The sequence below is a fragment of the Homo sapiens genome, chromosome 9, assembly GCF_000001405.40.
Source record: "Homo sapiens chromosome 9, GRCh38.p14 Primary Assembly".
Lineage (NCBI taxonomy): Eukaryota > Metazoa > Chordata > Mammalia > Primates > Hominidae > Homo > Homo sapiens.
This window is the reverse complement of record NC_000009.12, coordinates 132,641,058-132,662,852: the sequence shown is the minus strand read 5'-3', so window position 1 is coordinate 132,662,852 and position 21,795 is coordinate 132,641,058. Positions and strand designations below refer to the sequence as shown.

General features: G+C 41.5%; 1 protein-coding gene across 17 annotated transcripts in view; it reads left to right on the top strand.

The window, feature by feature from the left end:
- The window catches only part of DDX31 (DEAD-box helicase 31), a 76,987-nt gene that overhangs the window by 7,131 nt on the left and 48,061 nt on the right, over positions 1-21,795 (top strand). For 15 of the 17 annotated variants that reach the window (NR_136309.2, NM_001322340.2, NM_022779.9 and 12 more), the window contains 13 exons: positions 158-414; positions 517-592; positions 1,602-1,645; positions 3,073-3,143; positions 4,118-4,182; positions 10,361-10,405; positions 11,737-11,778; positions 12,555-12,619; positions 14,302-14,421; positions 14,558-14,664; positions 15,795-16,030; positions 16,782-16,958; positions 20,790-20,849. Coding sequence is in view for 16 of the 17 variants with exons in the window: in NM_001322340.2 (NP_001309269.2) it covers positions 158-414; positions 517-592; positions 1,602-1,645; positions 3,073-3,143; positions 4,118-4,182; positions 10,361-10,405; positions 11,737-11,778; positions 12,555-12,619; positions 14,302-14,421; positions 14,558-14,664; positions 15,795-16,030; positions 16,782-16,958; positions 20,790-20,849 (1,365 nt within the window). In the remaining variant the exon portion in view is untranslated. The other 2 variants (XM_047423739.1, NM_001322344.2) reach the window with 2 other exon arrangements.

The window sequence follows — 21,795 nt, the reverse complement described above, 5'->3', positions numbered from 1 at the left end:
AGTCTGATTGCAAACCCTAAACTGTTGCTTGACATATGGGGCATAATGATCTCTGCAGGGAGAGATGCAATTCTGTGGGCAGTCAGGCTTCACTCCGAGCTCTGTTTTCATGGACTAATGCATCTCTTGTTGATCTTTCCTTCTGGGAACAACGCAGCAAGCAAAGGCTACGAAAAGAAAATACCAAGCGTCCAGTGAGGCTCCCCCAGCGAAACGGAGGAACGAAACTTCATTTCTCCCAGCCAAGAAAACTAGTGTTAAAGAAACTCAGAGGACTTTTAAGGGGAACGCACAAAAAATGTTTTCTCCAAAGAAGCATTCGGTTAGCACAAGTGATAGAAACCAGGAGGAGAGACAGTGCATTAAGACTTCATCACTGTTTAAAAACAACCCTGACATTCCAGAACTCCACAGGTATGTCCAGGGGCGGATGCCCTTCAGGAAGAAAAAAATGTGTTCTGCCTTTTCTTTGTTAATATTGGCACTGATGCCTGGGTTCTTGTTCATCATTTGCAGACCTGTGGTAAAGCAGGTGCAAGAAAAAGTGTTTACTTCAGCTGCTTTTCATGAGCTGGGCCTCCACCCACATTTAGTAAGTACCTTTCAGTGTTTTCTGGGTCAGTTTTTTTTGGTGTGTTTGTCCGTTCAGAAGGTCTGTGAAATGGCCGCTCTAGGAGGAGAGATCAGAGAGTGTTTGTTTCTGCTCTAAGTTACCTGAATGAACTCAGATTGATATGATACTCTTCTAGGACAGTTCAAGGGTGCTTAGGTTACTGTTCACTGTTTTCTGGCCCCCCCTTCCCCCATCCTCTGTTTTTTTGTGTTTTTGTGTGTGTGTTTTTTTAAGTATTGAAGACTTTCCTCGACTAACGTGATTTAGGGTCAGGACATCACTTGCTAAACTTAAAACAGCTCCCTATTTACTGGATAGTTGTAGTGGTGAAGCCATTTGTGGTGGCAGATGTCACAGTGGCCATAGGAGAGGGAACTGTGCTGGCATCTTGCTGTTAAAGGACGTCCACAGTTTTAGAGAAGTAAGGGAAGAAGAGTATTTTGGTGTGTGTTCTACAAACAAATGGACACTTTAAAGGAAAAAAAGTGAGTTCTCCAGACTCATGAGTAAGAAGAAAAAAATATATTAACTTTTAGGCAGGCTTGGTTTCCTCTGCACTTTCGGTTACAGCTTACTACCCCTTCTGTAGGGTGGGTTACCTAAACTTGTTTTCTCACCTGGGGGGTGGATCAGGGTTTCTCAGCCTTGGTGCTGTGGACATTTTGGACTAGGTCAGTCTTAGTTTTGGGGACTGTCCTGTGCACTGTAGGATGTTCAGCAGCATCCCAGGCCTCTACCCACTAGATGCCAGCAGTGCCCCCCTCCCCTGGTTATAACAAGCACAAATTTTTCCAGACTTTGCCCTGTGTCCCCAGGGAGTTAGGGCGGGTGGCAGAATCGCCCCAAGTAGAGAGCACCACCTGGGTGGAGGAACTTAATTTGATCATAGTAGTCAATGTTCTCTCAATAGTTTCTCCTTTCTTGTGTAATTTCCGTTAAATATTTTGTATCAAAATATTAATTAAAGCTTTTTCATCTCCTCTTTTAGATTTCCACAATAAATACGGTCTTAAAAATGTCTAGTATGACCAGGTAAGAACTTCAGGCTCCTCTTGATTTCTTAGGCATTACGTGGGTATAACCGGACGAAACCTGTGTGTGCAAGGCAGAGCAAATTTGTGTCTTGGCGTTGGAACACAGTGCCAGGTTATCGACCATAAAGGGTTGTCGTCTCACTTAGCTACTCATTCTCTCCACCTGTTAAATGGAAAGACTGGCTTTCCATCCAGTTCTGCCCTTGGCTCTGAACCGCAAGAGACGTCTCATCCAGAAGGTGGGCTGCATGAGCGCCGCTGTTTTCTGTGCTTCCCTGAAAAGAATTTGGCCAAAATATAGCATGTGACCATGTCGTTTCTTAGTAGTAAGAATTAGGGTCAACCAAAAAGACAAGAGTAAATGTTCAGTTGGATAGAGTGGGATACTGAAAAAATGTTTTCAATGTTTGTTACAGGGAATGACTCCTGGAAAATAAAGAAGTAAAATAGGTGCGAGGAGATGAGCTTCCTTGTTTTGAGTATTTGTGCTTCTGTGCATTTTCATAATGATTTTTTACTTTTACTAGTAAAAATTAATAGGAATATTAAAGTCCAAATTAAGGGACCTCCCCACAAGTTTTTTATCAACCAAATTTAAGTGATTTTTGTGTCTCTTTTGTTTCTTGTTTTAAAATACATGTGTAGACACACATTTCAGCATGTCCATAACCTTTTCCTGGAGAATGGACAGCTGCTGCTGGCTCTCTGAATAGTTGGCGAGCTTCCTCCTGCTATCCTGCATGGAAACCTTTCCATTATGTTTCGTTGTGTTTCATATTCCTGTTAGTGAGGGCAAGAGTGTGTGATACACTTGGTGGTAACTCTGATTTGTTGTCATGCCTGTTTCTTTTTCTTTTTTTTTTTTTTTTTGAGACGGAGTTTTGCTCTTGTTGCCCAGGCTGGAGTGCAGTGGTGCGATCTTGGCTCACTACAATCTCTGCCTCCCAGGTTCAAGCGATTCTCCTGCCTCAACCTCCTGAGTAGCTGGGATTACAAGTGCGTGCCATCACTCCCAGCTAATTTTTTGTATTTTTAGTAGAGATGGGGTTTCATCATGTTGGCCAGGCTGGTCAAACTCCTTACCTCAGGTGATCCACCCACCTCAGCTTCCCAAAGTGCAGGGATTACAGGTGTGAGCCACTGCAGTCGGCTGCCTGTCCCATTTTTAAAAGAATTAGTTTAATAGAATGGCCAGTCTCTGGTTTGCCTCACCATTTTCAGGCTAAGTTCTAAAAATATAACTAGGGTTTGATCTTTATAATCATCAAAAGTTTCTTCACACCTTTATTTGAATGCTTTGATAGCTTCTAAGGAGGCAGTTGCCAGATGAATCCAAGTGTGGGCAGTTGCCTTTTATGTATCCTGCGTCTCTGCCAGTAACTGGGTAATATAGGTAAAGTGTGTTCTTTTTTTCGGGTGGCCCAGTGTTCAGAAGCAAAGTATTCCTGTGTTGCTGGAAGGCAGAGATGCTCTCGTGAGATCCCAGACGGGCTCAGGTTAGTCTCATTTCATCTCTGCCCTTTTTCATCTGCTCAGGCCCATGGTCATGCACTAGGTTTTGCCATGCGGTGTCTGGGTTGGTGGTGGTGGCAGTTTTGTTTCGTTTGGGGGAGGGAGGCCATGCTTTTGATTAGAGCCCTGAATGTGTTCACATAATGAAAGGAAGGGGACAGTTGATGGTACCACGATGAGAAATGATTAGGAAGTAGTCAGGTTCGGCTATAATTTCCTCAGAGCCTATTTCGGGGCTTTACCAAGGTGTGGTGGCCACAGTTGCCCATTCTCACTCTAGTGGAGAATGAATGTCTTCTTCTGGTGTTAAACACAGAGTGATTTCTGGCCTGAGCGTACACTGATCAGATGCCAGTTGTGCTCGAGGACAGAACACTGTTTCTGCCGTGTTCCAGGCCAGTCTGGACTTGCTTTTTTGACCCTCATGTGCCCTCAGTGGGCAGTCAGCTATCCTTTACTCCCACCAGCTCGGCCACCATTCAGAAGGCTGGATACCCAAAGTTTTTGCCATCTGTTGGTTTCTCTGCAATTAGAGATTAGCTCTAGAGTACAGACTGGCTCCCAATCACATCAGCACTGCAGAGATGTAATTGACCACTGAAGCTCATCTGAGAGGGTAGGGAGGACTTCAAAGGAGGAATTTTCTGGCTCCTACAGACAGCCATCAAGTTGAGCTTCTGTGTAATTTGGGAGACATATCGTTATCTCTTGTTAGATGAATAAAGGAACTGAAGCTTCTAGTTTTTTAGAAGTACTCATTTTACAAAGCAAAATTGGGATTTGTGGCAGACAGGGGAAGTCCCTTTTCACTTCTCTTGGATGTATAATGGGCAGTTTCCCTTTCCCTAGAATTTAGTACTACTGGAAGATAGCAGAGCCTGTTTCCTTTACATCCTTTGCTTTTCTTAAACATCTGTAGGGTGTGTGATTTTAATTGCTTCTGCTTTTTTTTTGAAAGGTAAAACTCTTGCCTATTGCATCCCTGTGGTCCAGTCCCTTCAAGCAATGGAGTCAAAAATACAGGTGTGTATCAAATGTGTTTTTCTGTCATTGCTCATAGTGCATAAGCAACCATCAAACTGAAGCATAACAGAAATATTAGGACTAAAAGAATCTGTTTTCACTGAGTATTTTTTTCACCTCCTTTTAATTTATTTATTGCATAAATGTGTTGTATCTAGAGACTGTGCCTAGAGTAGAATAAATACACTTCACAATTGTCATAGTAAGTGTAACAGGGAAGCTTTGTAAGATGCTCCCCGTGTGTCAGGCATGATACTTTGCATGTGTTCCCTTCTTGAATCTTTAACTGCTCTCTCCCCCACTGTGTTATAGGTATTACTGTTATCCACATTTTACGAAGAAGAACAGAGGCTTAGGAAAGTTAAATAACCAAGGCCATGCAGCAAGTAATGGAGGAACTGGATTTCTACCTCAGTTCTGTTTGGCTGCAGAGACCAAGCTCCTTACTCTTGTGTGAAGACTTACAGTGAAGGTTAATTCCTGGCTCCTGTGCTATGTAGGGGCCATGCATCTGTGTCTTCCACAGTACCTAACGTGGGACCTTTTACAGAATGGTCACTCAATAAAGGTGATTTGGTTTTGCAGCTATCCATTCATGCTTGAGTCTGTGTTGTATATAAAGCATTATATTTTAACCTTCTAAGTTCCAATGTGGTGTTTGCTTTTGACCAAGAAGGCTGAACTTCATATTTAAAACAGTGGTTTCTCATGAACAGTAAATATGAAAATAAGCAGCCATTTAGCTGAAATGTTAATATGAGGACAAATTGGGCTACCTCATTTTTGAGATTATGTAGAATTTATCTTTAGTTGTGAAACATGTTAAGTTAGTGCCTGGGTTGAGTTCCCTAGGAGGCCAGTTAACTGCTGTGATCCGTGGGCAGAGGCTTCATCTCAAACGCCAGCCCAGGATCCTACAAATACAGCCTCGTTATTCTCAGCTGAGAGGGAGTGGTGAGACCAGAAATAGAAAGTGAGGTGACTGCAAAAAACAGACAAAAGCTAATCGATTACTGTTTTTCTCAGTTTGGATATGCAGAATTAGCAGTATATCTAGCCTACCTGATATTTGAGTGACAATAATAGTGTTGCATTACAGTCTATAAACTAAAACAAAATATCCGTGAGTTCAAACTGATACAAATAAATTATTGAATAAATAAATGAGGGAGAAGGTAGAATTCTTCTTTATGTAGAACTCTAATAAATAAATATACAAATGATAGAAATAGAAAGTCACCATTTGGCAAATGCCACAGTAGTATTGTTTCAGGCGTGAGTTATCATAGATGCTAAAATGAGTGGATGAAAGTGTTGATAATACATATGGAGAAGCTGAGAGAAGGGTGTGTGGAAATTCCTTGTATTTTTTTATGCAAAATTTTGTAAGTCTGAAATTATAAGCCTGAATTCATTCAAAATGAATAGGTTCAGAATTTTTAAAAATCAGTTAAACCCTACAAAATCATCCAGAGATGGAACCAAGTATAGCCATTAAAAAATGATACTTTTTCAATTACTATTTGTGAACTTGAGCAAATATTCTTGCTTTGTTACTTGAAAAAGGGCAGGTTACAAAATGATGTGTATAGTGTGACCCCAGTTTCATAAGTAATAGTTGTGTATGCATGCATAAAAAGGCTGGAATAATTCTTAGCAAACTGTTAACATTGGTTTTCTCTGAGTGAGGAATTTTACTTCCTAAAGGTAACTGATTTTTTTCCCCCTATTAAGTGCTTTACGGTGAGAGAATTTGTGTAAAGTGCTTAGCATTGTCCCTGGCACATAGAGAAAAATAAATGTAAATTACTACAATCATGTAGTAAAGTCTCATCCACTTACGTACTCCAGGAGAGCATCTTGCCAGTGGAGAGGTTTTTCTTTATACCAGTTGAAGAGTTTGGACTATTTGAGCTGGAATGGCTTATACAGTTCTAGCCTAACTCTAATTTCATAGATCCATGACTGGAGGATGAGAGAGATTTGATGACATACATATCAGGGGAATGGTGTGGTGGGCAGCTGTGCTCAATCCTGGGTCTGAGGGTAACTTGAGGCAAATTGTTCATCCTCTGTGCCTCAGTGCCTTTGCTGTGGCACAGGGATGGTAGCGGTCAGTGCCTGTCTCCAAGGGCTGGGATCAGGGTTGAGCTAATGCATGTGCAGTGTTGAGACCCGACGGGCAGTGCATGGTGACATCATGCTTTAGCCATCGTCAGCAACGTGGTCATGTGGCTAGTTGGAGGGGCAGTGATTTGATTGGTTATATGTCATATTTTACTTGCTGCAATATTTTAAAAAATCACGAACAGGTCGGTCATTCTATTAAAGACTGGAATATTCTGTAGAAACACAGTTTTCCAAGCCTCAATTTAATTCACTTATTTCAAGTAATAATATAGTCCCTTGGAGTTCATTGTAAAATGATTTGACCTGTAAAAAGCTTATCTGGAGGGCACAGCAAATTTAAGGCACCCAACAGATCCTTAAATTACTTTGGTGATGGCGTGAGAACGGACTGCTTTTCTGTGTTCACACTCTTCAGTTATTTTGGCTCTGATTTTTTTTTTAACATCATATCCATCCTCCCTCACTTACTTGTGCCCTGTGAGGAATTGATTTTTCTTTCTTCTTCTCTATGTAGTAACACCTTTTGAAATGTCAGAATCTCCTAACGTCACACAGCGGCACGTTGCTGCTGTTGTACTAGCATATTTACCATTCCTAGCCTGCGTTCAGTGTAGTCTCACAAAGTCGATGTTGAGTACAGACAACTCTGGTTTGAATTCCAAATCCTTTTCTTCTTTTGGGTAAATGTTTCTTATGCAAAACACGAAAACCATACTTGTAATTGAATTTGCTGTTAACTCTGTGCTTAGCTTTGGCAGTAACGTTGTTTTGTTCATTCATTCAGTGTCTTTGAGCACTTTGAATGTGCAAGGCACCATTGGCTTAGGGGCCTTTTTCGGATTACTTTGGTTTCTTCTGTTTTTTTTATTAATACTTTTTAGATATAATGTACCATATATGTTTTAAAAATTTCAAAGAGTACCAAAAATATATATAGCGAAAAGTAAAGTCATCTATTCCCACTTTCCCTTAGTGGCACAGTTTGCTTCTCAAGATGCCATGGTGGTTATTACCAGTCTCTTGTATATCCTCCTGGGGAAATTCTCTGCATATCAAGCAAATTTGAGGATGTGTAATTCCTCTTACCAATTTTGTGAAGTTTTTTGTTTTTCTGTTTTGCTTGGTTTGATACATGAGTGGTTGCTTTGTTATGCAGGATGTTCTGTGCCTTGCTTTGGTTTCTTTGATGTGTTTTGGGCTCCTTAATTAGCACCATATTGGGCTACCTTGTTCTTTTTGATGACTGCCTAGCATTTCATTGTATGTATGTATGTACCGTGAATTACTGACTCATTCTCTTATTGGTTGGTGGAATTTATATTATGTTCAGTATTTTGCTACAAACAAGGCCACTTAAATACTCTACAGTCTGTAAAATATTCTACAACCTCTTTACACACACATATGGTCTATAGGAGAAATTTCTGTAAGTGGAATGTGCATTTTTATTTTAGTAGATAATGCCAACATTAAACTTGAAAGGGAATATGCCAGTGTGCACTCCAGCAGCGGTGTAGAAGGTCCAGTTTTCCCATGCCCTCCAATGCTCTCAGCTGCTTTATGTTTCTTCTTCTTCTTTTTTTTTTTTTTTTTTTGAGACAGAGTCTCGCTCTGTTGCCCTGGTTGGAGTGGAGTGGCGTAATCTCGGCTCACTGAAACCTCCACCTCCCGGATTCAAGCAGTTCTCCTGCCTCAGGCTCCCAAGCAGCTGGGATTACAGATGCCTACCACCACGCCCGCCTAATTTTTGTAGTTTTAGTAGAGATGGGGTTTCACCATGTTGGCCAAGCTGGACTTGAACTTCTGACCTCAAGTGATCCACCCGCCTTGGCCTCCCATAGTGCTGGGATTACAGGCATGAGCCACCACATCCGGCCCTTTATTCATTTTTCTATTTGAATTTTGTTTTGTTTTGTTTTGTTTTGTTTGAGATGAAGTCTCGCTCTGTCGCCCAGGCTGGAGTGCGATGGCACGATCTCGGCTCACTGCAACCTCCACCTCCTGGGTTCAAGAGATTCTCCTGTCTCAGCCTCCTGAGTAGCTGGGATTACAGGCATGCACCACCACGCCTGGCTAATTTTTTTTGTATTTCTGTAGAGACAGGGTTTCACCATGTTGGCCAGGCTGGTCTCTAACTCCTGACCTCAAGTAATCCACCCACCTCAGCCTCCCAAAGTGCTGAGATTACAGGCGTGAGCCACCGTGCCTGGCCAAGTTGGTCTTTTTTTAAAGATTGAATTACAGGGCTTTTTAAAATATATAAATTAAGGAAATTAGCTCTTTCTCTCAGGTGTGGCATATTTTCTCCCCAGGTTATCATTTGACTCTTGGTTTTGTTTAGGTATTATTTTTCCATTCTGAAATTTAAAATTCTTAGGTAATAAAACGTATCAGTGTTTTATTTTAAGGTTTCTGAGTTTTATGTCATCTGTTAAAAGGACAATTCCAGCTTTGTTTTCCTAACTTTATTTTTTTCTCACAGGACTTTTGAATTAAACCATCTTTTTCTTGCTGATATAAAATGGCCCTTATATTATTTTCTAAATTTTGTTATCTATTTGATTCTATTCTCAACTTTATTTGCTATTATAATCTCTATTCATGTGCCAGTATCATTATTTGTAATTGCTGTAGCTTTAAATTATTTTAACATCTGATGTTTTTCATAAATGTCTTGGTTATTTTTGTACATTTATTTTTCCATATGAACTTTCAAATCAGGTTGTTTGGTTATATATGTTATTTTATATATACACATTTGTGGCATTTTTATTAGCATCACATTACGTTTATGGAGTGATTTAGAGAGAATTAGCTTATATGTACTATTGCATCCTCTTATCTGGAAATAGGGTGTATCCTTCCATTTATTCAAAATTTACTTTATGCCCCTCAGAGGTGTTTTTAAATTTTCTTCATATAGATTTTGTATATTTTTTGCTAAGCTTATATTCCTTTTATCTTTTTTGTTGCTATTAACTTTTTATATTGGAAGGCTGTTGAAATTTTTTTTTTTTTTTTTTTTTTTTTTTTTTTTTTTTTTTTTGAGACTGAGTTTTTCACTTGTTGCCCAGGCTGGAGCACAATGGTGCGATCTCAGCCCACTGCAACCTCCACCTCCTGGGTTCAAGTGATTCTCCTGCCTCAGCCTCCCGAAGAGCTGGGATTACAGGCGCCCGCCACCATGCCCAGCTAATTTTTGTATTTTTAGTAGAGACGGGGTTTCACCATGTTGGCCAGGCTGGTCTCAAACTCCTGACCTCAAGTGATCCGCCTGTCTTGGCCTCCCAAAGTGCTGGGATTACAGGCGTGAGCCACTGCACCTGGCTATTGATTTTTATATGTTAATTTTGCATTCAGCTGCTTGACAAAATTATCTTGTTTGTAATAGATTTTACATTAGTTCTCTTATGGTTTTTTTTTTTGTAAGATAAAATAACATCTGCTAACAATAATTTTGTTTCCTATTTTCTAATTTTATACATCATATTTCTTGTCTGATTGTATGGGCCAGGACCTCTAGAACAGTATTCTAGAATAATGGGGTTAGTGGGTGTGTTAGTCCATTTTTACACTGCTGATAAAAACATACCCGAGACTGGGAAGACAAAGAGGTTTAATTTGACTTACAGTTCCACATGGCTGGGGGAGGTCTCATAATCATGGCAGAGGACGAAAGACATTTCTTACATGGCAGCAGCAAGAGAGAATGAGGAAGACGCAAAAGCAGAAACCCCTGATAAACCCATCAGATCTCGTGAGACTTATTCATTATCACGAGAATAACCGGCCCCCCTGATTCAATTACCACCTCACTCCTGCCCCCCTGCCCTTCCTCCTACAACATGTGGGAATTCTGGGAGATACAATGCAAGTCGAAATTTGGGTGGGGGCACAGCCAGACCACATCAGTGGGCAACCTTATTTTGTCCCTTTCTTCATTAAGAGTGCTTCTGATGTTCTACAACCGGCCACCCCTGTGTCCTGTCCGTTTGGAGTCTGCCTTTGTTTATCCTGCTCATGGCATTTTTTTTCTGTGTGTCAACAGCGCAGTGATGGCCCCTATGCCCTGGTGCTCGTGCCAACGAGAGAGGTAAGCAGGCTCCCTTTTGGGACAAGTTTTAAGCACATGCTTTCACTAATGTCCCGTTGAATTTAAAAGTGGTTTTACCATGTTTCTCCCTACTGCACAAGCCACTGCACACCAGTTCCATTTGCCTGGAAACCATCCTTCTGGTTCTTGTCAAGGAGAAAAATTCAAGTAGTCTCTGAGAATCATAAGTATGGAAAAGTATTTTCCTATTGTCTAGAAACTAATGATACTATTAAATGTCTGTTTAATTGGGTTTTGAATTAAGTTGCTAAAAAAAAACCTACAGAAATGCAATTTTTTAGCAACTTTATTCAAAACCAAAAGCAGTTGGCTCTGAAAATGAACCTTTATTTTTTTTAAGAAGCTACTGCTACCAAAAATGTTACTTGTTCCTAAAAGTTAAACTTTTCAATATTTTTTTCTTTCTTGGTGGAAATCTCTTCTATCTGATCTATTTTATTTGCCTACAGAGGCAACTTCAGATTAGGGTATGTGGTTTCTATATCAAATGCTAATCACTTCCTTACAGAGAATTGATCACAGAGATGATTTGAAGTCAGCTTTTCATATAGCCTGCAGTCCCCTATCTCAGCTCAGTCCAATGAAGGAGCAGGCACAGAAGCTATTAAAATTTTTACAGCAGCAAACTTGCTACTTCTCGAGGATGCTTCATGAATACTAAATATGTGGAAACTGTATATACGTTCTTTAAGAACGGGATTCTGTATGAGGCATTTTTGAAGGTTGTTAATGGTTGTAGCCTACTTTAATTTTCACTTGCTTTGTTCTCAAATGGAGCTGTTGGTTTGCTTTTGTTTTATTGATATAAACTTGAGGAGCGACCATCTCCCAGGCTTCAGATATCCTGGCACAGTTGTAGAATACAGTCATCGCTCCTTGAGAGCGAAGTTCCCAGAGGCTACCCTGTTGCGTCACTATTGTGGTTTACTCTGCGTACATATTATATTCTTTCTCTTTCTAAGGAGAGTCAAATTCAGGTTACTTTGTTTCATTCTCTTACGTTTTTGTGCACCACAGACTTGAACTTCTCTGTGTGGCACTCTGGGAATTTGAGCCAGCAGAGGGAGCACAAAACACTATTTTTGTGTATGTCCAAGAAATAGAAGTGTTGTCTTTACCCTCTTTGCCCAAACTGACAGGTTGCAGAACCAGTCTAAGAACAAGGTATATTAGATTCTGTGTATAGGATTTTTTTTCTTCTTAAATCTTAACTTGAGGTCCAAGTTTGGATCCTAATCACATTAAATTGTCTTTAAAAAAAAAAAAAGGGGGATCCTGTTCATCATCTATAACTTTTAAAATTTTTACAGCTAGCTCTACAAAGCTTTGACACTGTCCAGAAACTGCTTAAGGTAAGGCAAACCATGAGTTCCATTTCATCTTGCTTGCTGACTTTGAGGAAGGATTTAATATACTACAGTCTATTCTTTATTTTCAAAGAGATAAGAATTATTTCCTTTTGCCTGGATATCTCTGCTCTCTCTAGGCAGTTTATAGGTTTTTACTGATCTAAACCTACCAATTTCTAGCTTAGCTGAATTATCAGTGACTCCTGGTGCATAAAGTCCTGCAATTTGTTCATCATAGTCACTAGCAAGCCACATACAGAAATTCACAGGTACAGCCTGATGGTGATCCAGTAGAAAGCAACTTAGCTGCAAGTAGGATTTGTTTAAGAAAGGAGAGTGAAGGCTTCAGAATCAAAGCCAGCCAGCTCACCAAATTGGATCATGAATTGATCCATCCTTTCTTTTATTAGGGGTGGAGAGTAGGGAAGGGTGTTGCTTGGGTTTTTATCTTAACCCCAAAAATGGCAGTAGACTTACTGACATGTGTTTTCAGTTCAGGCTCTGTGGGAAAAGAAAGGCAAGCTACTTGAATGATTTAAGAAGCTCACATTTCTCTCTCACTGTGGTAGAAGCTAGTTATATACCTATAATTCAAGTTACTGCTGATAGTGAACATGGGTGTAGCAATGCCTAGGAATTGTGTCTGCACAATAACACCTTATACAATGAGAAGCACCAGTTTTCTCCCATGCCTTGTTTAAGGAAAGGGAATTTGGAATCAATGTCTGATGTTAGTAAAGGGGGCTTTGCACTGACTGTGGTCTGCTGTCTTTCTGTAGCCTTTCACCTGGATTGTGCCTGGAGTGTTAATGGGAGGAGAGAAGAGAAAATCAGAAAAGGCCAGGTAGGAAGAGGTTTGTTGGTTGTTGTTTCCTTCTTGAATGTGTCCTGCCTTCCTATTCAGTAAGGCTGGGTCCTTCTAAACCTGCTGAGAGCTTTGTCTCAGGCTCTGCTTCCTAGTCCCGGTGCACAGGGACAGATTGAGTCAGTGGGGAGCGGTCACCTCTAGACGGTGCTGTTTTTTAAAATATTAAACCTACAAACAGGTTTCCTTCTGATGTTGCTAGTAACAGTGCTGTCAACTTCTTAACTCCCACCTACCCAATGCTCTATAGCATCCCTGGTTTAGTATACATCCACCTGCATGCCACTCATTTTTGTGGACATTAAGAGTTTGGGGTTTTGTTGTTTGCTTTTACAAAAACAAGATCATTCACTTATATAATGCTTTGTAACTTGCTTTTTACAACCGAATATGTTTGTTCCTTTATTAGGATTTGTAATGGGTGTCAGTTGAAAATCGTTGCAACAAGTAAATCTCAAATTGTCTTCATTCTTTTGAAAACATTTTTATTGTATTATAGCTTAATAATCAGTACTCAATAATGATGCATGTAGTCTATAACTGAGGAGTAAATATGAAACCTGAAACCTCAAAGCATTGGTTAGGATTAGACTCAGCTGTGAATAACAACAATAATAACAAATAACAGTGGCACAAACAATATACAAGTTTTATTTTTCTTTCACATTTAAGAAATCTGACAGAGCCAGTCCAAGGCTGGCCTGGTGCTCCAGTGTCGGGGACCAAGCTCTTTCTGTCTTTTTGTGCCACTATGGGAGGATTCCATTTTTAAGATTACCTCATAGTCTTAGATAGTTGCAGGCACTCCAACCATTGCATCTAATTTCTTGCCAGCGGGTACAGAGATGCTCATACCTGCTCCCTCTGAAGGTGCTTGTGTGATTGGCGTGTTCCCTTTACCTTTTATCCCATTGCTAAAACAAACATGACTATACTTAACTGCAAGGGAAGCTTGAAAATATATCCAGCTAGGCTGGGTGCAGTGGCTCATGCCTGTAATCCTAGCACTTAGGGAGGCCAAGGCAGGAGGATGACTTAAGACCAGGAGTTTGAGACCAGCCTAGGCAACATAGTGAGACCCCCGTCTCTACAAAGAAAAAAAAAATGTGCTAAAAATTGGAAGCTTTTATTACGGTGGACTGACAGGAAAATGGTTGTCTGGGGAATGAGAAATTAGATTTATTGTATATAACCCATGGGACAAAGCTGAGCCCCGTTGAATGGAAGTTACATAAAGGGCTTAGCATAAGAAAAAAGTGTCCTAGCAATTGGAGCACATTGGCATGGAATCACTTGCTCAGATACTAGATTCTCTGGCACAGAAACCTTCGAGAACAGGCTAGACTACAATCTCTTTGGAAGGTTCTAGAGAGGATTTATGAGTCAGATAAAGAGCATTGGATTATGTAGTTATGATCCCTTTCAAAGTTAAAGTTTTATGATTTTAATGTAATTTCAGATCTTAACAATTGCATTTCACAGTACAGGGAAAGACTCAAGTACAGCTTTCTACCCAGTTTTTATGTTTTGTCATGATTTCAGGCTATGGCACGTTTGCACTGTACATGAAATGAGTCTGTCTATTTTGCCTTTTTCCTGTGTTTTCTACTGGCGTGGCCCTGTTTGATTTACTTTCTTTTATGATATATAATTTTAAACAGACTCCGCAAAGGAATAAATATCCTTATCTCAACTCCTGGACGCCTGGTGGATCATATAAAATCCACAAAGAACATTCATTTTAGTCGGCTGCGGTGGTTGGTGTTTGATGAAGCAGACAGGTGAGCCTCGTCCCAGGATGATAACAGGTAGAAGAGAAGGGCTGTTTCTCCTCTCCTTGTTGCAACTTCTGTAGCCCCTTAGACCACATCTGCTCTTCATATAGTTGAAAATTTCTTTTTTTTTTTACAATCACAGAATCTTGGATTTGGGTTTTGAAAAGGACATCACAGTGATACTTAATGCTGTAAATGCTGAATGCCAAAAACGACAGAATGTCTTGCTATCAGCGACACTCACAGAAGGTGAGTTGAAAAGAAGTGATGGGTCCTTCTTTGTTCTTAATGAAGAGGAAGGACCTAGATTTAACCTGGGTTGTTTGCTGCAGTGATTCTCAACCTCAGGGAGGTGGGGGCAGGGAGAGAGCTGTCCTTAGAAGACTGCCTTTTCAAACTCTATGTTCTACACTCCCAACTTCCCTCTGCAAGTCATCCAAGACAGATATGTTCCCCAGGGCATGGGGAAAGGGAGAAAGGGCAGGGATGAGGACGAGAAAAGACTGGCTGCTATTGGCTTGGTGGTTTCATGAGGTTTTTGTGCACTTGCAACCCATGGAGAGCAGGGCCCTTGCACTGAAGATGATGACCTCTTATCTGAGTGCATTTTTAATGTAATCACTCTTCCTCCTATAGAGCTATTAAACTTAAAAAATATATCAATGAAGCGCTTCTCTGTCTTCCATCCATGTGAGATGGAAATTCTTAGCTCTCTTTTTTATCACTGGGAACACGAAGGCTTGGAAAAGTTGTATCACTCTACCAGATCCACCCCACACAGTGAGTCATTGACCAGCAGTGCAGCTTTCACGTTTTTCTGTCTGGTTTCCTTGATTTACTAGGCCACATTATGATGTGCATGTACCAGATGCCATGCATGTGGTCCCTCACAGTTCCCTATGTTCTAATTTTTGAGGGATGATTCACGAAGAAGGGATTCTGTGGTCAAGAAAGTTTGAGAAATGCCCCACATCCCTCCCTTGGATATTCTCAGGGCACATTAACACAATAAAGGCCCTGAGAGGGCTGCTTATAGCAAAAACGCTTTTGTGAAACCTTTGAAATCCAAGATTTGCCATAACTTACTTGACCAAAGAACCCTTTTGGGAGGTGGGGGTGGGCGCAGTATCTGTTGCTATCTTTTGGACGCTGTTCCATAGGTGAGTGTTTATAGAATGGCTATGGAAAGATACGTTGGTAGATCTCCCTGCAACACACACGTTGGCACTAGGGCGGATCAGTGCTGGGACTTGGTGATACCCATGGGGTAACATACGTAGTCCTAACATACATGGGTGGGTGCTGTATGGGGGTACGCTTTTGTGACCAGTTTCATGGTGTGTTTGTTGTCTGCTTTGCCCTTCTTACTTTTATCCAAGGTGTAACGCGGCTAGCTGATATCAGTTTGCATGATCCAGTCAGTATTTCTGTCCTGGACAAGAGCCATGACCAGTTGAACCCAAAGGACAAAGCGGTCCAGGAGGTCTGTCCTCCACCAGCTGGCGACAAGCTGGACAGCTTTGCAATACCAGAGAGTCTCAAGCAGCATGTGACTGTGGTTCCCAGCAAACTGAGGCTTGTCTGCCTAGCGGCCTTCATCCTTCAGAAATGCAAGGTGGGACTGTGGGCTAGAGCCGACTTGATTCAGGGAAGAAAGGCCTGCTTTCTTGTGTTAAGCCATTGGGAGCAATGAGTTGAGACACCAAAAATCAGAGGTTTTCCAACTTATGTCTGCATTCCGGATGCAGACTTTGATATACATCCTTTCAGTCAGGTTTTAGGATTATGGTAAAAACTCAGAGGTCAATGATAGCCATGATGTTCAGCTTGAAATGTTCTCGATACCTTTCCTGGGACTGATATTAGGAACATCACAGGTGGCGGGAACAGCTGGATGTGAGGCAGACGTAGGGGCTTGTGCTCATGTTTCTCCAAGAGTCTTGGCATTTGTGTATTTATTTACTAGATTTCTGCGCTGACTCTGAGATGTGAGAAAATAGTAAGTGGAAGGGCTTAAGGGTGAAGGTTTTCTGCATATGTAGGGTCTCAGCCAGGTAGTGTTGCATGTGGCAAGCCCTGGGCGAATAAAGGGAACGGAGCTCCCACACAGCTGTGCTCCCAGGTGTGTTTATTTTTGTCAGATAAGGGAAACCTGTTTGAAATGATAGCTGTGTCGTTTTCCTCTCCTGCATTCTTTGTAGAGTGGAGTATCACTGTTTTTGTTTTTGTTTTTTTAAATAATTCAAAGATAGTCACCTTTATTTCCAAATGGGGGTCAGCATGACTGTATAGTTTAGAGAAATATTCGTTTTGGCGTCACCTAATCTTAAAATATGTCGGTTTTTCCTCCCTTTGTATCGATGTAGTTTGAGGAAGACCAGAAGATGGTTGTCTTTTTCTCAAGTTGCGAGCTGGTGGAGTTCCACTACAGCCTCTTCCTACAGACCCTGCTGAGCAGCTCAGGGGCGCCGGCATCAGGGCAGTTGCCATCTGCCTCCATGCGATTAAAATTCCTACGGCTGCATGGCGGCATGGAGCAGGAGGTGAGCACTGATCTCCCTGTGCAGCGACAACACTGCGGCCCCACGTGGAGATGGGGGCGAACCTGAGTCCGGCAAACCTGGTCTTTAGGCTCAGCAATGGCTACGACCCTTGCACACTCCACTGGGCAAGTCAAGAATGAGACGAAAATGGGTGACCCACTGAAACTAGAGGGGATCACACTGCTGGATTGATGGGGGCAAGGGGAGTCTATTGTTCCCATTTGCTTTTGCTCTGGGAGCTGGTCTCTTCCACCCGAGAGAGCTCACAGGCCCTGGACTTGGCCTGAATCTACCTCAACCAGCTGTTAAGGCAACAGAGTACCACTAAGTAGCTGGCACCAGGGAAGGGTTTTGCCTTTTTAGTACCCAGTGTGTAATTAGGGCTTGATGTCTTCAAATTAAGAGCATTAATGGAGCTAAATTGTGGATCCCATATGGTACTGCTGAGCACGGCTGCTGTCATTGTCAACAAGACACAGCGCTGCACTCAGAACACTTTCGGTTGGGAGAGGGTACCGTGAACCAAAGGGGCTTCGGGTTCCCAGTTCTTTCTCGGCACGGAGTAAGATTTCTGTTCAGGAAGAAGAATACAACATTTCCCCTATTTTAGGGACTTGGCTATGTGAGTCGCATTCCTCCACTCTTAACTAGGCCGTTTGTTATGGAGTCGGGGTGGAATATGGGAGTGAGATATACTCACTGGAATTGGGAAAGAAAGAACGAGCAAGACTCGAAATAGGAGCCATTTTGCCCTAGAGGAGAGGTTACCAGGCAGCTTCAAAAATTAGAAAGTGTGAAAGAAAACTAGAAATCAGGATGAGATTTGACTTGAGCCAGCTTAAAAGATCATAAGATTTTTAGAGCTAAAAGGGACACTAGAGGTTTGACACGATCCTAAACAAGTCCAGCCTCTCTTTGCTTTTGCTCTTTTGTTTTAATAATTAAGTAAATAGAGGCCCAGAAAAGCGAACTTGTTCAAGGTCACTCAAGGACACCGGTTATTTGCCACAAGATTATATAGAAATCCCTGAATATTCCAGCCCTTGCGCATTAGGTAAACTCTTGGTCTTTACCTTTGGATCCCTGATTCAATCAAAGTTGTTGGTTTTATTTATTTAATACCGTTAATGGTTTGGGGTTTTGTTTTTGTTTCAAGCTTTGTTTACTAATCCTGTGAATCCGTTTTTACCAGAGGCATTCTGCGGCGTCGATCCAAGCGTGGTTGGGGGGAGCTGGGTATGGACTCAGAATGGTCTAGGAATTCGCTGTAATAGATCACACACAAGAGTCTATAGCTTCATTATACAGAGGCTGTTCATCTCACTTTGTAACAGGGGAGTAGTCTAGCGTGCTGTTTATAGCTGTGCCCTCTGGGGGCACCCTGCTTGTGGTCTTGTCCTGGCTGTCACTTGCTGGCTGTGTAATCTCAGGTAAATATTTAACCTCTCTGTGACCTAGTTTCCATGTCTGTAAAATGGGGATGATAATTGTACTTCCTTTAAGGTTGGCTGAGTTAATGCAGACAAAGCCCTCCGTACAGGGCCTAGCACACAGGAAGTGCTCAGTAGATGTTAAAGTGCCTTTATTACTATTGTTTTTATCTGTCTTTCAGGAATAGTTCTTTTTTTATAGTTTAAAAGTTGTTTTTTTATAGTTAAAATTGTGTTTTTATAGTTTAAAAAGTAGAATGTCTGTGTAGTATTTAGCCTTTGCAGTGGAAGACAGGAGGTTATAGTATCCCTGTGTTTTCTTTTGTAAGTATTAGGGGTGAGTTTCTTGTTCCAGACTAAGCTGAAACAGTCCCACTTAAATTTTCCTGACTTATTACCCTGGCCACTGTCCTACAAGGCCTTAGCATGGTCTCCTTAGATGGTTGACATGGTTCTAAAAAAGTTTATGAGCATTGGATAGACGTTACTATTTGCATGGTAGTTGTGATGAAAGTCTAGAGTTTGGTAGGTTTTTTTTTTTTCTTACCCCAAATCTGAATACATCATAACTAGTCTTTAAGGTGTTTCATAAGCTTTTATGAACTTTCTGATTTTTTTCTGATTTTGATTCTACGATGCAGCCATTAAAAATGATCGTTTATAAAGACCGTGCAGCAGACTGGACAAATGGATCTGTCCTTTTGAGGGTCTGAGCACTGACTCCGGAACACAGCTCCCTGGGTTCGGATATCATTCCGGCCCTTTACCAGGTGTGCGTGTCCTTTGGGCAAGTTCCTTAACCTGTCTGTGCCTCAGTTTTTTTCTTCTGGAAAATGGGGGTGATGATAGTACTTACACATAGGGTTGTTGTGAGGATTAGCAAAGTTCAGACGTGTGAGGTCTGGTACATGGTGGGCACTCGATGAATGTTTGTTGTTTGTATGTCTTTATCCAGTGTACTCAGTGAGGTGTGCCCCGGGCTTCCAGCCATGGACAAAATCTACGCACAGGAAAGACCAGAAAGACATGCCACAGCACATAGTGACTGTGCCAAAGCGGCAGAGACTTTACTTTTTTCCAGATTTTGAGTAGTTTGGTTCTATTTCTTTGTATTTGCTGCTGACAGGTGAATGTGACCAACTCAAGTGCATAGAGCTTCATGACTGAAGAGCACTCAGAATGCGCCGTTTCAGGCTCATACTGAAAGCATTCTAGGATGCTCACCTTTTGGTCCAGCGAGTCTGTTTCTAGGAATTTAACCTAAGGGAGTAATTAAGAATCTACACAGTGACTTATTTATAGAGATGTTTATCACAGCATTGATTGCAATATTAAAAAATCAGCAGGGCGAGGTGGCTCACGCCTGTAATCCTAGCACTTTGGGAGGCTGAGGCTGGTGAGTTGCTTGAGCTCAGGCGTTCGAGACCAGCCTGAGCAGCATGGCAAAACCTCGTCTCTTCAGAAAATACAAAAATTAGCCAGGCATTGTGTGTATGCCTGTAGTCCCAGCTACTCAGGAGGCCAAGGTGGGAGGATCACTTGAGCCCGGGAGGTGGAGGTTATAGTGAGCTGAGATTGTGCAGTGAGCCTGGGTGACAAAATGAGACCCTGTCTCAAAAAAAAAAAAAAATCAGAGACAACCTTAATTGCCATAATACAACATTGGTCACGTAAATAATGGTGCATCCATTTAGTTGAATACTATTTCACCACAGCAGATGACCTGGTCTTTGGATACTTATTGGCATGAAGAGATGTTCATATTCTGTTGCTATATAAGAGCATGTTAATAGTATAAATAGTAGGATGCCTTTTTTTTTTTTGGAAAGCTGCATATTTGGTTATGTTATGCATAAAATGGAGACTCGGGAAACGTCAAGGTGTCCCTGGTGGTAGTGGGGGTTTGCCTTGAGTGGTATTATATTTTCTTCCTCTAATGTAAATATATTTTCTCTCCAATTAAAATACATAGTTTTATAAATATCTAATCTTTTAAAAAACTGCCTGTAGAGAAGGTTGGTTATTCTTTATTCCTTCAGAGCACTTGTAGGAGAATGTTTAGAATAAATTGCACGCAGGCTTGAAGCCCTGCATGCAGTAACTTGTGCCTTCCTGTTCTTGTTTTTGGCCATTCCTGGAGAGTGTGCCTGCCCTGGTAGTGTCTCACAAAAATGCACCCTCAAAGCGCCTGCTACTTGGCTGTAGCCTCAAGTCCGGTCCTGTAAGTACAGGGTCATCTTAGAAGATGTAAAGAATCCGCTTCTTCCTCTTTCCTGGCAAACCTCTCTGTGCCTGAAAATAGCTCTAGCAGTAGGAGATGGAGAGAGCTAGGGAGATGTAAGCCTACCTTGCTGGAGTTTGTCTCTGAGTTGTAAGGCTCTATTTTTCCTTGTTTTTGTAGGAAAGAACAGCAGTGTTTCAGGAATTTTCACATTCCAGAAGAGGCGTCCTTCTTTGCACGGTACGTATCCTCCTGTGTTCCATGTGAAGGCTGATACATTTCTGTGATGGCTGTGTAATCTTTCGTCTCTTGACAGTTTGTCCTGTGGTCAGTCCTACAGGGCCCAGGAACACTAGGGGCCCCTTGGTGGGGCTGGCCTCTTTGCACCTCTTTCTTGTTACCTGACAGGGCTGCAGATAGCCAGCCACCACCGTGCAGAAGACTTGGCAATTTGCTCACTAATAGTGGCAGCTGTTGGTCTGAAAATGTGTGAATCTTGGAGATTTCTATCCACCAAAAACTTGTAAATTACAGCTATCGGGAGTAATTAGAGCTGAGAAAGTCTTTCCACAACAAAATGACTCTGATTGCCTCTGCTTACCTTTTCTTAAAGGAAAATCGGTGCATTTGGGCCGATTTTATTTGCTGCTGTCTCCGACTATCATTTGTCCTGTGATTTCAGGGCCTGCTCCCTCAGCCTCAGGCTCTGCAGTCCGGGATAGCTGCCTCCTCCAGCACAACACTGACCTTTTAAACTCATGCCTCTTGTGCTCTTTTGAGATTAAAAACTCAAACCTTCAGTGTTCTCTACCCCCAGGCTGGGGATTCACTTTACCGTAGTTGTTGCTATCTCCAAAGATTAAAATGCCTTCTCTGTTCCATCTTGGATGATGTAACTTAATCCCCAGCTGGTTATTGGAGAAGTCCCTATATACACAGTAATGAAATTGTACCATAAATTTAGTCAATCCAGTGAACAAGTGCTGGGTAGAAACAAAGATACTAAGCTGTTTGAATGCCCATCTAGGCCACATTTGATGCAATTACTTTTTAAGGAACTTGTATTCCATATTCAGTATTAAAGGCAATGGAGACTTTTCTGTCTTAAGTGTAGAGTCTCTGTATGAGTGCAGCATGGTTTCTTGTGTGTTTATATATGTGTGCTTATCTGCAAGAGGGGGCTTAT